The 14,832-nt window shown below is 37.7% G+C and overlaps 1 long non-coding RNA gene across 2 annotated transcripts in view; it reads left to right on the top strand.

Moving 5' to 3' along the window:
- Window positions 1–302: 302 nt before the first annotated feature.
- LOC101927329 (uncharacterized) overlaps window positions 303–14,832 on the top strand; it is a 154,205-nt gene continuing 139,675 nt past the window's right edge. For both annotated transcript variants that reach the window (XR_242624.4, XR_929946.3), the window contains exons 1-2: window positions 303–576; window positions 868–903. This is a non-coding gene — a long non-coding RNA (uncharacterized LOC101927329). The remainder of the gene's footprint in view (window positions 577–867; window positions 904–14,832) is intronic.

Here is a 14,832-nt window from a genome sequence, read left to right as displayed (position 1 = left end):
AATACACCAATTGGCACTCTGTGTCTAACTCCAGGTTTATATATGCACCAATCAGCACTCTGTGTCTAGCTCAGGGTTTGTAAATACACCAATCAGTACTCTGTATCTAGCTAATCTAGTGGGGACTTGGAGAACTTTTGTGTCTAGCTCAGGGATTGTAAACACACCAATCAGCACCCTGTCAAAACAGACCAATCAGCTCTCTGTAAAATGGACCAACCAGGTCTCTGTAAAATGGACCAATCAGCAGGATGTGGGTGGGGCCAGATAAGGGAATAAAAGGCTGCCCAAGCCAGAAGGGGAAACCTGTTCCGGTTCCTTTCCACATTGTGGAAACTTTGTTCTTTAGGTCTTTGCAATAAATCTTGCTGCTGCTCACTCTTTGGGGCTGCACTACCGTTATAAGCTGTAACACTCCCTGCAAAGGTCTGCAGCTTCACTCCTGAGGCCAGCAAGACCATGAACCCACAGGGAGGAATAAACAACTCTGCAAGGGAGGAACGAACAACTCCAGCTGCACCGCCTTAAGAATTGTAACACTCACCGCGAGGGTCTGCAGCTGCTTTCTTGAAGTCGGTGAGACCAAGAACCCACCAATTCCAGACATAATAGCAGTGGGGTGCTGTGGGAGTAGGGGTGAACTGGAGACACTACAAACTGGAGAAGCTGGAATAAGGAAGAACATTTATTGGGTGAATGTAATTTGAAAAATTGCAGAGCAAAAGCTGATTTACCAATGTTTACCCCTAACACTGTCTACCACACCCAAACAGTACTAATCTAGACTTGATATTTGTTTTATAAAATCAGATCATAATGACAGGTCTTAAATAGTAGTAAATAATATTTGTATTCTCCTTTTTATAGGTGTATGTAGAAAAGGAAGGACAATATCTCAGGAAGGTGAGCTCCTGAGAGGGACTTTGTCCTATAATCCATCCATCCCTGGAAAATACATGAAATAAGACTTGGAGATAAAGGCTGAATGCAACAGTAAGCCGGTATAAAAGTTATGTTCTGGGAGGCAATGCTACGAGTTACAGAGGAGCACTTTATTTATTTGTGTATATTTATTTTTAATTGGTGTGATATTTAGAGTAGTCAATCATTTTGACCCCTCTTAACTACTTATTGATCAGAATATTGCTAATTCCGCATGGTGCATATACTTTTTAAAAAAGACTTATTCAATTACAGTGATGAATGTAATTTATTTGTCTTTAAATTTGCTCTGATATTAATTAATGAAAAAATGCATTACAGCCTCTTTGTAAAAGATGAGGGCAAGGTAAACAAGGCATGCTGTCTCTGAGGGCTTCAGATTTTATCTCTAATACTCAAGATGATAAACTTAGATATTACATTAGCTTTAGATATGTTAGTAATCAAGTGTGGCCAGATAGCTGTCTCCTGATTACGTATCTGAGAAGATAAATATGGTATTTATGCCAATCAAAGTCAACTTCAATTCACTTTTTGACGAGTTCCAAGCTTAACAGAGTGTTCTGCAAACAGAAGCAGCTTAAGAGATCAGCTGAAAATGAAAAAATTATTTATCCCTCAGCCATCTTAAGGCTAAAGATAAACAGTCCCTCGATATATTCCTTAAATGTGAGAAAAGCTGCAAAAACTTAGCAGGTTTACTGATATGGCATAACTTATGTAGGAATTGTCTGGTCTATGAAAAGGTGTTTTTTTAAATTGTGAAAACAATGTCACAACATTACAAAAAATTGGGCAAATACAAGGGAAGATATCAATCATAATTTCAACACTCAAACATTAAAATGCAATATTTTTGATATTCGTGGGCTCTCTTCCTTTTGTTTTTCATCCAAACGATCTTCCATTATTGCAATCACAATGTACTCATAAAAACTTTGTTCCTTCTTACTAAAGTTAGCTGAAGAAGGATTTTTATGTGTTGCGATATGGACTTACAATTATCCATTTTAAAAATTGCATAGTTTTCAATCAGGTAGATGCACTGTAATTTAACATTCTCTTAACTGTGGACATCTCATTTACTTTTAATTTTTTGCATAAAAGAGTTTCCAATGAATGTCTTATGATAATCGCGTTTTCCATTTTGGGGGGAATTTCTTTAAGATAATTCCTGGATTACATAATGACATTGTCTAAAATTTGGTGGCTTTGGTAAGACCAATTACAAGGGGGTGTTAGAGACTAAAAGCCAGTTTTCAATGGGTTGAAGGGTGAGTGGGGGTGAAGTCCTAGAACATTTTTCTCCTGACTGTAGAAAATATTTTCAACAAAATAATTGAAGCTATAGGAACAGGAAAGAATGATTAAATGAAGGAGGTCCTGAAAAGGCAGGAGGGGTCCAGAATTGTTGAATGCCCATGGAAAGTTAACAGTAGGAAAAGGAACATCTCCCCCTTTAAGTGAGGGAAATCACAATTGTAGATATGGATGCAAGTTAGCCTGTTGGTTTAGTGACAAGAAGTTGAAGGAGTTGCAGGGGTCATTTGCCTGGAGGAGAACAGAGAATATCTACAATGGTCATTATTAAGAGTGAAAGAAAATGGACTAATGATAATAATAGCTTGAAATTTCTCTTGTGTACTCCATGTGATTGCAAGTGTGCTGAGTGCTTTTTATGAATTGTCCCATAATAGTTGTGTCATTTTCCACCAATTCTTAATGGCACTAGGATAGGCAGGGTGAAGAATTTACTCAAGTATGAGTTTTTGCGAGGTTAGTGCCATGGAAGAGCAATGCTAAAAGGCAATTAAGAATCTTGGCATGAGAGATGGGTGGGATCATCCTTCTCATGTAGATGGTAGAGGGTATAGAAGAGCATGCACTGTTGAATATTTTATGCAGAAATAAGGACAAATGTGTGCCACTGCATTGGCTGAATAAACCATAAATAAAAGGACAATTCGGGGGGCCAAATCTTTTGTATTACTGGAAGAAATCTGACTCTGATATTACTGGCTTATTTCCCCACTAGCTGGGCATGTCCTCTATTTCTGCACAGAGCGCCAATGACATACAGGTAGAAAGCACAGTGGAAAAATAGAGTTTAAACATCTTGAGTGGTCCTAATAATAAGAGGAGTCATGTATTGTCATTAACATCATCCTGGAGAGGCATACAGCACAGGCTTCAGGGCCAGCCTGCTTGAGTTAGATCTAGGCTCTGCTACTTACCAGCTGTTAACTTTCAGTTAGTGTTTCTATGCCTCAGTTCTTTCACCTGTAAAAAGGGTATGATAATGGTATATGCCTCATAAGATTGTTTTGAGGATTATAAAATCAAAACCTATAAAGCACTTACAGAAGCTAAGTTTAGAGTAGCTGCCATCAGGTTTATTATTAAAATAACAGCTACCACTTGTTGAGGCTGTAAGTACTAATGATATGCTAAAGACTTTATTACTTTAGTTCATCTAATTCTCACGAAAACTTCCTGAGATAAGACTATTTTCTCCATTTTACAGATGAAGGAACTGAAGCTTAAAGAAATTAAATCACTCACTTTATGCCATTCCAACTTATAAATGACAGAGCTTGGATTCAAATCCAACACTGTTTGAACCCAACGTGTTAGGCAACTTTCTTGAGCTGGTGAAATTTCAGTGTGTGTGTGTGTGAGACTTGTGTATTCTTCTGTTTTTCCCTCTCTCTTGCTAAAGCTCTTAAAGTTTGTTCTGGAGCTATCGCAAATGTGGCTTATCCACATCCCGTCACGTTTCTTTACCATTTTCTTCCTGCCCATCAGACCCTACTATGTTTTCCCTCACTGGAGCGTCCTGCTTTGGCAGAGGGCTGCCCTTAGGCTACCAAAGCCACTAGTACATCTATAGGCTCATGTAAACCCTAAAATGAACAGAATTGCCAGGAGGGCTTATTAAAAACAGGTTACTGGCCTCATGTTGAAGGCTATGACTGTAAGGTTTGGAGTGGGGTCCCAGAAATTCCATTTTTCACAAGTTCCCAGATCTGAGAATCACGCTTTGTCATATCTTTGTGTCACTATCCCAGAGTCCTCGTTTTAAACAATTATATTTATAACAAAATACAACAAAAACAAACGTTGTATTATACAAAAGAATGAGAAACTCATTTAAAAAATCCTAAACAGAATACATCCTTTTGGCTTACATTTGTCTACTATCTCTTTGCTCATTGCTTTTTTCATGTTATTTTAAGTGTTTCTTAGTAAGTGGCATGCATCTGGTTCGTGCCTTTTATCCTATCTGTATTTCAGCTAAAAATGCATGCATGGATCTAGTTTCTTAGTGTTTTTGTTTCATCTTTTCCTACATTTTTGATGTTTTAGATTGCTCATTTCCTTTTCCTTTTTCTCAATTATTGGCCTCTTCAAGATTCTGTTTGTCCAATTTTTTTTTTAATTTGGAGGGCCTGTTGTCTGTATATTTTTATTTCAATAATGATTACCACGCCTCTCCCTGCTCTCTTAATAGGGTGTGGAAGATTCTACTATAAGTTCTGCACAATATACCCATTATTCTCTAGGTCACACTCTTTCTCTAGCACCGTGCTCTAATACCTTGCTCCTCCAGCCTCTTCCTCCTATAGAGTCGGGCCTATGAAAAGCCTTTACTTCTCTCCTCTCTTCCCTCAGCCCCGTGATGTCTTTGGAATGTTTTACCTTTACTCTCTTCCCATCCATCTTCAAGTACTAGGGTTTGCTAAGACTGCTTATTGCTTATTAGAATTTTAGAAATGAGGCTGTGTACTTCCACCTGATAGTGCAGTGAAGGCAGTGGGTCCCTTGGCCTTTATTAAATCACACCATTGAGACCTTTTCTCTTCTTTCTCTTCCTCCTCCTTTAATTAAGGCTTTATTCTCTTCAGGTGGCTACCTTGCACTTCATTGTCTCAAAGGAGCTTGGCCTGGGCTGTGGAATGTTCTGTGCGTGCTTGCCTGTGTGTGCAGTTGTGGGCATGCGCGTACTTCCAGCAGCAGGGATAGTTGTTTCCCAAATACAGAAACATCCAGGGAGCTAGCTGCTGTTCCACCCATTTCCGTGCCTGTTTAGAAAGCAAACTGAATGCACAAGAGTGAGATAACTCTTTTTATAGGCATAACCTTGAATACCTGTAATTTATTGTAAGCAGGTAAATGATTTTTGTCTAGTTATCAATGACTTGTGGCATAGCTCACAACAGTCCTCAACACAGTCTGTTGTGCCCTAATCCACAATTAACCACCTCTGCTTCTTGGCATCCCTGAAACTGGTCCTCAATCCTCCAGATTTCCTGAGATTTCAGCATCCTTAACAAAGCACAGGTACCTGTCCAGTTGCACATCAAGGAGCATGTAGTTACCCTGCTGTTCTCTGCACTGATGGATTACGTTGTCTCCTTATAAAAGGTAAAGGAAACTTTCAAGAAGAGACTAGGTTCACCTTTTAACAATTTGTTTTTGGGTCCTGAGGTCAGGGTACATCATTCTCTTTACCAAGATAAGGTGTGCTCTCTACTCACGGAGAAGATACCCCAATATTTGCTTGTGCCTTTTGAAGGACTAATTTGCCTTCCTAAATAATTTCAAGATGTGTCTTTATTTTATGTTAAAATTTCCATTTGAAGGCTTGGCAAATCTGTCATTTCCTTTTTTTTTACTAGACACACTTGGGATGTGTCCCTGACACTGTGAAATAGGCTCTGTTAGGTGTAAGGTTTATAAATATGAAATGAAGGAAATTTGCATGATTTTAAAGCATTTTTCATTGAAACTCTCTTTTGTTTGAGCACAAAATCTGTAACAGTTTATGAAACACTTAATGAACCTAATCCTTGAAAAAAAAGTGAAATAAGAAGACCAAAGTGGGATTGTAACTTTTCTAAATGTTTTACCATTTAGCAACCAGTTTATGCCTAAAATAGAGTGTTAACATCAACATCATTTAAGAATTCCTGATTGTTACCTCTTTTGGAGTTTTGAATGTTTACTTCTTTGAGTATTTCTTTAATGAAAACATAAACTTTTAATTACAGCTTTTCTTTGTTTATTTTTTTAAAATACAAAAGTCTCCAAAGATATAGGACTTTAGTCCGGGTCTCACTCTGATGAGATGAAGTAAGGTATGGACATTCCAAACAAAACAAATGATAACACTCACCACTTTAAAGTGAACAGAGGTCATTGTCTTCCTGAATATTAATATGCACATGCAGAAATTCAGTTAAATGTTAATGTTTTTGTTTAAAAAATTAACAGCAAAAAGGGAGAGAAGAGATTAAATTACAGAGAGGTAAAGAGAGAGACAGAAGGGCTCTTGACCACTTGGCCCCCTTACCTGGGAGTTGGGCAATTCAACTTAGAAAACACATGGTGCCATTTTTCTAGATCTGTATGTTTAATCTGTGCACTTTTCCAAAATGCGTATGTTAAAATATCAACCTCACAGAGTTATGTAAAATAGAAAGTGCATTGAACCTGAGGTTGAAAGGCCTTTAAACTAAAGAGTAGCCTGAAGGTCTAGTCCCTGACTTGAAAACTTCTTAGTTTATGACCTTGGAAAAAAGCCAATGAATCATTCTCAATCCCACTTTCCTGTTTTACAAAAGACTGTTGTGAAGATCAAAGATGATGGATATGAAACTCCTATTTTTTTTTTATTTTTTAACTCTTTCCAAAACTATAAAGTACCCTTTACATCTAAGGCATTCTTCCATTTCTCCAAATATTTGTGCATGGTCAGGGAGCTTTCTGTTTCTAAATGATGGATGTGCTCACATGGGAATACATTCAGAATGAATTTATAATTAATTGTTGTTTGACTACAGAGATAATTGAAAACAGCCAAATTTGAGTCTTTCAGAAAAACAAAAAAAGCATTGTTCCTCATCTTATATTTTTATAGAGCTGAACCCATGAAACCTTGACAAAGTGGAATTGTGGATGCCCTGTAGTGTTTCCACACATGCTCTTGACTACTTGCCATATGCATAGGTACCCCTGTAGTTTTCCCCAAATCGTAGCTCACATTCCAAGTGACATCCTCTGCTTGAACTCCATCTACAGCCTACACGTATTCTAGCTTTAGAAACAATGGCCACCTGTTCTATTTTCCCCTACATTTCTTTATTACATACTGTTAGGGTAGAGTGATGAAAGGAAGGGAGAGACGAGTAGGGGGTTCAACAGTTAAGACAGGTTTATTGAGAGTAAACCTGAGAAGGGCTTCTGGCCATCAGGGTCAGGAGCAAACTTCTCTTACAGCATAAGGCTTTTTAAAAAGGCCCAGTGGGGGAAGTGTGCTCTAAGAGGGGTTCCTATCAGGGAGGGGTTGGGAAAGTGCTGGCTAGACTTGGATAAGCTATGTTAGCTGTGTTGCGATTAGAGTCATTATGTTCTGTTGAAGATGTGGGTGGGGCTGACATTTGCAGTTTAGTCAGGTAGCAACAGACAGTTCTGAGAAATAAAAGCTTGATACTTTAAGATGGTGGAATCTCCTTAAGATGGCAGTACTCTTGAACTATCACATACCTCAACGAAGCAAGAAAATTTAGCCAACTCTAAATTTGTGATGAGACTCAAAAAAGACAATATAGCAAAGTCAGGCCTGGAATTTGGATTTTTACCTTTATTTATTCATACAGCGTTCATGAGGGATAGAACAAGTGGTTGTTCTTAATCATTTACTGTATGATTGTTCTTAATCATCTCTCTGTGGATAAGGATTATCAAATTGAGAAGGAGTGGGGACTCTCTGGCATTTTTATTGAAGCAGTGGATAGACAATGTTGAGGATATTTTAATCTTGTTCTACCTTTGAGGCTCCATGACTTTTGAGAAGAAACATCTGACTCAGATCAGAGCAAAATGAAAACACACACACACACACACACACACACACACACACACACACACACACCCCTCTTAAGGAGGTAGACACTGCAGTTAGCTTAAAGCATTTTGTTTTTTCTTAATAGTAGATTCTAGTTCTCAAATGAGTTTTCTCTGAAAAACAAACAAAAACGAAAAAAAGCACTGAAACTTCTCTAACTTTGACTTGTTAAATCAACTTTGTAAAGTTTCTGAATATTACGCTTTCCTGTGATTACATGTGGAGAGCAGAAGACAGGAAACCTACTGTGACACATTACTTTAATAAAGTGATTATCTTTATTATGCTCATGATTTGTCACCAGAATTTCATTTCTTGTTAGATTAACTCTCAAGCATTATAATTTGGACAGTTATCGGGTTGCTGTCAAAACTTGAAATACTTCTACTAAATTCATTTTTTTAAATTTATCTCATTGGAAGGATAAAAGAAGTTGTATAATATGTATATATTACAAAATTCTTCAAAATTTAAGCAGTATCACATTTATACTTTGGCATTTGTCCCAAAAATGTTCTAAAATAATATATTTCCTATTTTGTCTGTGTCACTTCACCAATATAAAATTTGCACATTCTTTTTTATTTCTTTTTTTAAAATATTTTTTCTGACACTATCCACCTGGAGACATTCTTTTCATTTATACGCTATAAGTCGATTATGTGCAAATCTCACTTAAGAGGTGGTTTAAGGCACATTGGGGCTCAGATAGAAATGTCCCTATCACAGAGACCCAAGGTTTTATTCTCATTGTCACCCTAGAACAATCTCACCCTCACCCTAGACAGGTAAATGGACTTGTCAGAGAAAATTAGAAATTGCAAATGTTTAAATGAGTATCAGATAGGGGCAGACAATGTTGGTTTCCTAACCAATAGCTATGCCCCTCTTGTTGAACAGAATGCCAATTATGTCAAGGGATCTTGGAATTAGAAATGTGTTCCCAGACATGGACACGGGGAGGAGAACAACACACACTGGGGCCAGTCTAAGGGTGGGAGGCAAGGGGAGGGGCGAGCATTAGGACAAGTAGCTAATGCATGCAGGGCTTAAAAGCTAGATGATAGGTGCAGCAAACCACCATGCCACATGTATGCCTATGTAACAAACCTATACATTCTGCACTTGTATCCCGGAACTTAAAGTTAAAAAAAAAAAAAGAGAAATGTGTGATCTGGGCCAAGCAAATTAATCCTAGTCCCTTTTGCCAGTGACTTGTACAGAGATGGATGTATAAGGACTTCTGTAGAGCCATCTGAGATACTTACTGGGTAGTCTGAGGGGCTTCTGGGAAATATTTTTCTCTCTGATGAAAAGGGAGAGACGTGAGAAGAATTGATTCCTCTCCTACTTTCTCATTTTTTTGATATTGTGAAGTGAGGATGTGTTGCTTGGAATGGCAGTAGCTGTTTGATGACCATGAGAGGAGAACATGGAGGGTAAAACGCATTTGCTGAGGATGGCAGCATAGACAATGAAAACCACTAGATTCCTAGTGGCGTCATGCTGCCGGGCTAACCTGCAGCAACCTACCTTATACTTTGTTATATAAAATAATCATTGCACTCATTATTCAAGCTACTAATCATTGTTTTGTTTTGTTTTCTATTCTGTCACTTCCAGCCAAAAGTATGCTTATTGACTTACAAGCTTTCTTTGGTTCACCAGTTGGCCTGGCCGAAATGGTGGAACAGAAGACTCTGTGGCATGTGGGGACTTACATATCCATTAGCTGACTTCTTTGAAGACTTACCAGGCCTTTTCACTGTAATAATGACAACTATATCTTGTGACGTACATTCACAAAACACATTCTTCACTATACGTATTACCTGCCCATGCTATTTCACAGAGAAAAATACTTGGGGAAACAAGATTCCGGGTTTGTTTATTAGTACCCATGCCTTGGTCTTAACATAATTTGTCACCATGCTGTCCTTGTGCCATGCTGTCATCAGTTACAGACAATATTTCCTATTGAATTCATTGACTTAACTCCTTGCCGTGCTGGATTTACTTTTCTGATGAAGTTTCCATGTTTTTCTCATCTACACAGCCCCCCTTTCACCTTTGTGCAGTACTAACTGCCAACCAGAGAAACGAACATCCATCCTTCCCACTTCCACTCTGTCTTTCATGACCTCTGTTCCAGGTTCCTTTCTAAACACAATTCAGCTTGGATTCAAGACCTTGGGTGGGATTCCTCCTTTTTCCCCCTCACTAGGGTATTTTAAAGCAAACCCAAGAATCATAGAATTTTTGTTTGGAAATATTTCAAAATATATTTTGAATTTTCTAAGACCTCTCTTAAAAAAGGACATGCACAATACCATTCTCATACTTAAAATGAACAAGTCCTTAATCAGTCTGTTAAAATTCCTTGATTATTTCATTAATGTAATTTTATATTTGATTTGCTTGAATCAATATGTAAAGTCCACAGATGAAGCCTGCATATTCTCAATGACTACATTGGACATTACTGAAACTTGTTCTTGGTTTTTTTCAAAACACCTTGTTTTTTATTTGTTTTGTTGTTTTTATTTTTATTTTTATTTTATTTTATTTTATTTTTTTTAGACAGAGTTTTGCTCTTATTGCCCAGGCTGGAGTGCAATGGCATGATCTCAGCTCATTGCAACCTCCACCTCCCAGGTTCAAGCGATTCTCCTGCCTCAGCCTCCCAAGTAGCTGGGATTACAGGCACCCGCCACCACGCCCGGCTAATTTTGTATTTTTAGTAGAGATGGAGTTTCTCCATGTTGGTCAGGCTGGTCTCGAACTCCCGACCTCAGGTGATCTGCCCGCCTCGGCCTCCCAAAGTGTACCTTGTTATTTTTTATGACATATCTTTTTACTTGCCTTAAATTTCTATTTCTTCCTTCAGTTCTCTAAATTTTAAAATACTTTTTATAAAATATCCTTCAGTTTGTTCTGTTATCCAAGTTCTTGAAATATCCATTCTTCATTTGTTAGGCTGGCTGACTGGTTTCTTACTGTGATTTGTTATTTTTGTCTCTGAATCCAACTTGGAGGAGGAAGACGTTTGCAATGGATATCCTTTGTGGCCTACAGCAGAGGCTCCCAACCCCTGGGCTGTATCTATGGACTGTTAGGAACTGGGCCGCATAGCAGGAGGTGAGCGCAGGTGAGCCAGCATTACGGCCTGAGCTCCACCTCCTGCCAGATCAGCAGCGGCATTAGATTCTCATAGGAGCACCTGAACACTGTTGTGAACTGTGCATGTGAGGGATCTAGGTTGTGAGCTCCTTATATAATCTAATGCCAGTTGATCTGGGGTGGAACAGTTTCATCCTGAAGCCATTCCCCTCCTTTCATCCCTGGAAAAATTGTCTTCCATGAAATCATTCCCTGGTGTCAAAAAGGTTGGAAACTGCTCCCCTATGGGATGACATGACATTGGCTTCTGAAGGTTTCACCAGTTGCAGGTTAGCTTTGATCATAGTTCCTTGGCTTGGAGTCCCCATTTCCTAAGAGTAGTGTTCACTCAGACCCACACTTGCTACCTCAAGTGCGGGGACCCTGAGGAAATCCAGAATCTTGAGCTAGACTGAATCAAGGCCTTAGTTCTAGGGAGATCCCCAGGTCGTCTGTAGCCAGTTTGTGAAGCTCTGCAGTACAGGGATCTTCTTGGGTTTCTAATTTCTAACAGATGAATCTATTTTTATTCATGTCCCTGAGGAGAAAGAAGCATTCAGCTCCCTTCTTCAAGCAGGTAGGTAGAGTTTTCAATTGCCTATTTCAGAGGCAGGCCTGGCTCTGTGATTGCAGCTTCTCATGCACAAGGATCCTGTGTCCTGGCTGTGCCTCCACAGCTGGGTGTGGAAACCCTAGCCCCCAGGAGCTACCAGCGGTTTCTATATTGTCATGAGCTCCTGGGTTTTGCCAAACAAAAGAATCTGATTTTGTGTTTTTGCTTCATTTCTGGTACCTTCCTTTACATCAACATTTTCTAGGTATTTTTTAGAATTAGTTATTTTATTCTATAGCATTTACATGTCTTGGAAAGTGAGGGGGTGTCTTTTCTTGCGATATCAGACTGCTCTGCTAATGGGAAATCTAGATTGTAAAGGGCTTAGGCTCAGTAAAATGATGAGAGATAGGAAGTGTATGCGAAAGATATTAGAGAAAGACTATAGTCATTATTTAATTTTGATAAAATAATGGAGTAATACAGGCTTAATTATGGCTGTTAGTAAAATCAAAATGCATAGAAGTATTGTAAATTAACAGGAAGAAAAAGGATGGAGAGGAAATGGAAGAGAAAGTTGACTAAGCTGGCAAAATTAATAACAGGTAAAGAAAAGAAAATAACAATAAAATGTGTTAAATAGTACATAAATTTAAAAAATAGTAAATAAGATACATTAAATAACTGGCATGTTAATTATCTCAACAAATTTGAATATATTTCTATATCAAATAATCAGAAGCGTAGAAAACAAAGAAATTTAATATTTCATTGTTTTTAAGAAAGATGTAAAAATAACATGGCAAAGAAAAGTCAAAATATTTAAAGACTGATAAATTTGTAACAGGCAAATGCAAAAGTAAAAAGGAAGCAAGAAAGGAAAGAAGGAAAGAATTCAGACAAAGCAGAATTCAAGGTTAAAATTATTAAAGAGGACTTCGAAAGTAGATTTCAGGCAGGCCTCAGGTTAGATTTGGCTAAGGGATGATGCCCCTGAGAAACTGATGTGCTCTCTGCTTACCACTCCCTACACACTGGGGAATGGGATAAGGCTGTTTTGTACCAATTTCTTGTACCTGGTCAGCAGTCAGGAAAGGTGCCAGATTTTCTAAGCCTGGGTGGCCTTGACAAGGGAGAAGTTCTTTCTCAAAATCACAGACAAATACTTACCCGATGCAGGTGATACTCATGACTGCTTTATGGCATAAAGATAGTAAAAAGTTTTAAGAAATGATGAACATGGGATAAGATAACATTTTGGTTCTATGCAAATTGTTTTTTAAAAAAACAACAAAATTAATGATAAAAGAAACTGAAAATGATGATGATAGGTTAATTTACCCAAGCTAATCTTGAAACACAAAATCAAAGCAAATCACACTAACATTGAACAAAATGATAGAGTTTTCAAAGGGCCACCTCTTCCAAAAAAGCATTGAACCACAGAGTTAAACAGGTGAATTCTAGAAGATCATTAACAAATAGAAAACTCTAATGTTATTTCAGGTTTCCCAGTACGTAGAGAATAAGTAAGACTGAAAATATTTGTTTTTTCTTTTTACACCTGTTTATGAGGTCAATCTTAAAACTGCAACAGGATAATAAAAGTTACAGGCCAATCCCACTTATGAAAGTTAACGCAGGAATGCAAATGAAATGTTAGCACATGAACATACGAGATTCATTGCAATGATTCAAAGGTGGATAAATACAATCACTATGTTTTGGTCAGTGATGGACCACATATATGATGGTGATCCCATAAGATTCTAATCGAGCTGAAAAATTCCTATTGCCTAGTATTTAGTATATTATACTTTTTATTGTCATTTTTGAGTATATGCTTCTACTTATTAAGAAAAGTTAACTATAAAATGGCCACAAGCAGATCCTTCAGGAAGTTTTTCAGAAGAAGGCCTTGTTATCGTAGGAGATGACAGCTCCACACATGTTATTGCCCCTGAAGACCTGGGACAAGATGTGGAGGTAGAAGACAGTGATATTGATGATCCTAACCCTGTGTAGGCCTAGGCTAATGTGTGTGTTCATGTCTTAGTTTTCTTAAACAACAGTTTAAAAAGTTAAAGAAAACCCCAAAATTTAAGAATAATAAAAAGCTTGTAGAATGAGGATATAAAGAAAATAGTTTCATACAGCTGTACAATGTCTTTATGTTTTTAAGCTAAACATTATTACAAGAGTCAAAACATTTAAAAATTAAAAAGCTTTTAAAGATAAAAAATTACAGTAAACTAAAGTTAATTTATTATTGAAGAAAAATAAGATTTTTACATAAATTTAGTGTGTCCTAGGTGTACAGTGTTTTATAAAGTCTACAGTACAACAGTAACGCCTTAAGCCTTCACATTCGCTCACCACTCACTTACTGAGGCACACAGAGAAACTTCCAGTTCTGTAAGCTCCATTTATGGTCAGTGCCCTATACAGGTGTACCATTTTTTGTCTTTTCTATTATATTTTTACTATACCTTTTTCATGTTTAGATATGTTTAAAAGCACAAATACTTGCCATCATGTTACAATTGCTTGCAGTATTCAGTACAGTAACATGATGTACAGCTTTGTAGACTAGAAGCAATAGCTACACCTTATCACCTAGGTGTGTAGTAGGCCATATCATCTAGGTTTGTGTAAACACACTCTTGATATTTGCATGATGACAAAGTCACTTAAGGATGAATTTGTCACAACGTATTGTCATCATTAAGTGATGCATGACTGTAAAATGAAATCCATTATTATGATTAAGCAGAAGAATAAATCAAAGAAGTTGGACTCTATGCTATTTTCATAAACACTGAAAAGATTTCAATTAATATGATATTTATTTATTTATTTTGAGATGGAGTCTCACTCTGTCACCCAGGCTGGAGTGCAGTGGTATGATCTTGGCTCACTGTAACCTCTGTCTCCCAGGTTCAAGTGATTGTCCTTCCTCAGCCTCCTGAGTAGCTGGGACTACAGGCATGCACTACCATGCCTGGCTAATTTTTGTGTTTTTAGTAGAGACAGGGTTTCACCATTATGGCCAGGCTGGTCTCGAATTCCTGACCTCAAGTGATCTGCCCACCTCAGCCTCCCGAAGTGCTGGGATTATAGGTGTAAGCCCAGCCTGATATTTATTCTTCATAAAAACATTGAATAAAATATGAATGAGTAGACATTTAATGACTGTGTGTGTGTGTGTGTGTGTATCCAGCATCAAGCTCACCCTCAAAGCACTGGATCATTGCTATTCAAGTCAGGAACA

The sequence above is a fragment of the Homo sapiens genome, chromosome 9 (assembly GCF_000001405.40).
Source record: "Homo sapiens chromosome 9, GRCh38.p14 Primary Assembly".
Taxonomy (NCBI): domain Eukaryota; kingdom Metazoa; phylum Chordata; class Mammalia; order Primates; family Hominidae; genus Homo; species Homo sapiens.
The sequence above is the reverse complement of the archived record's forward strand: the minus strand, read 5'-3'. Positions and strand labels throughout refer to the sequence as shown.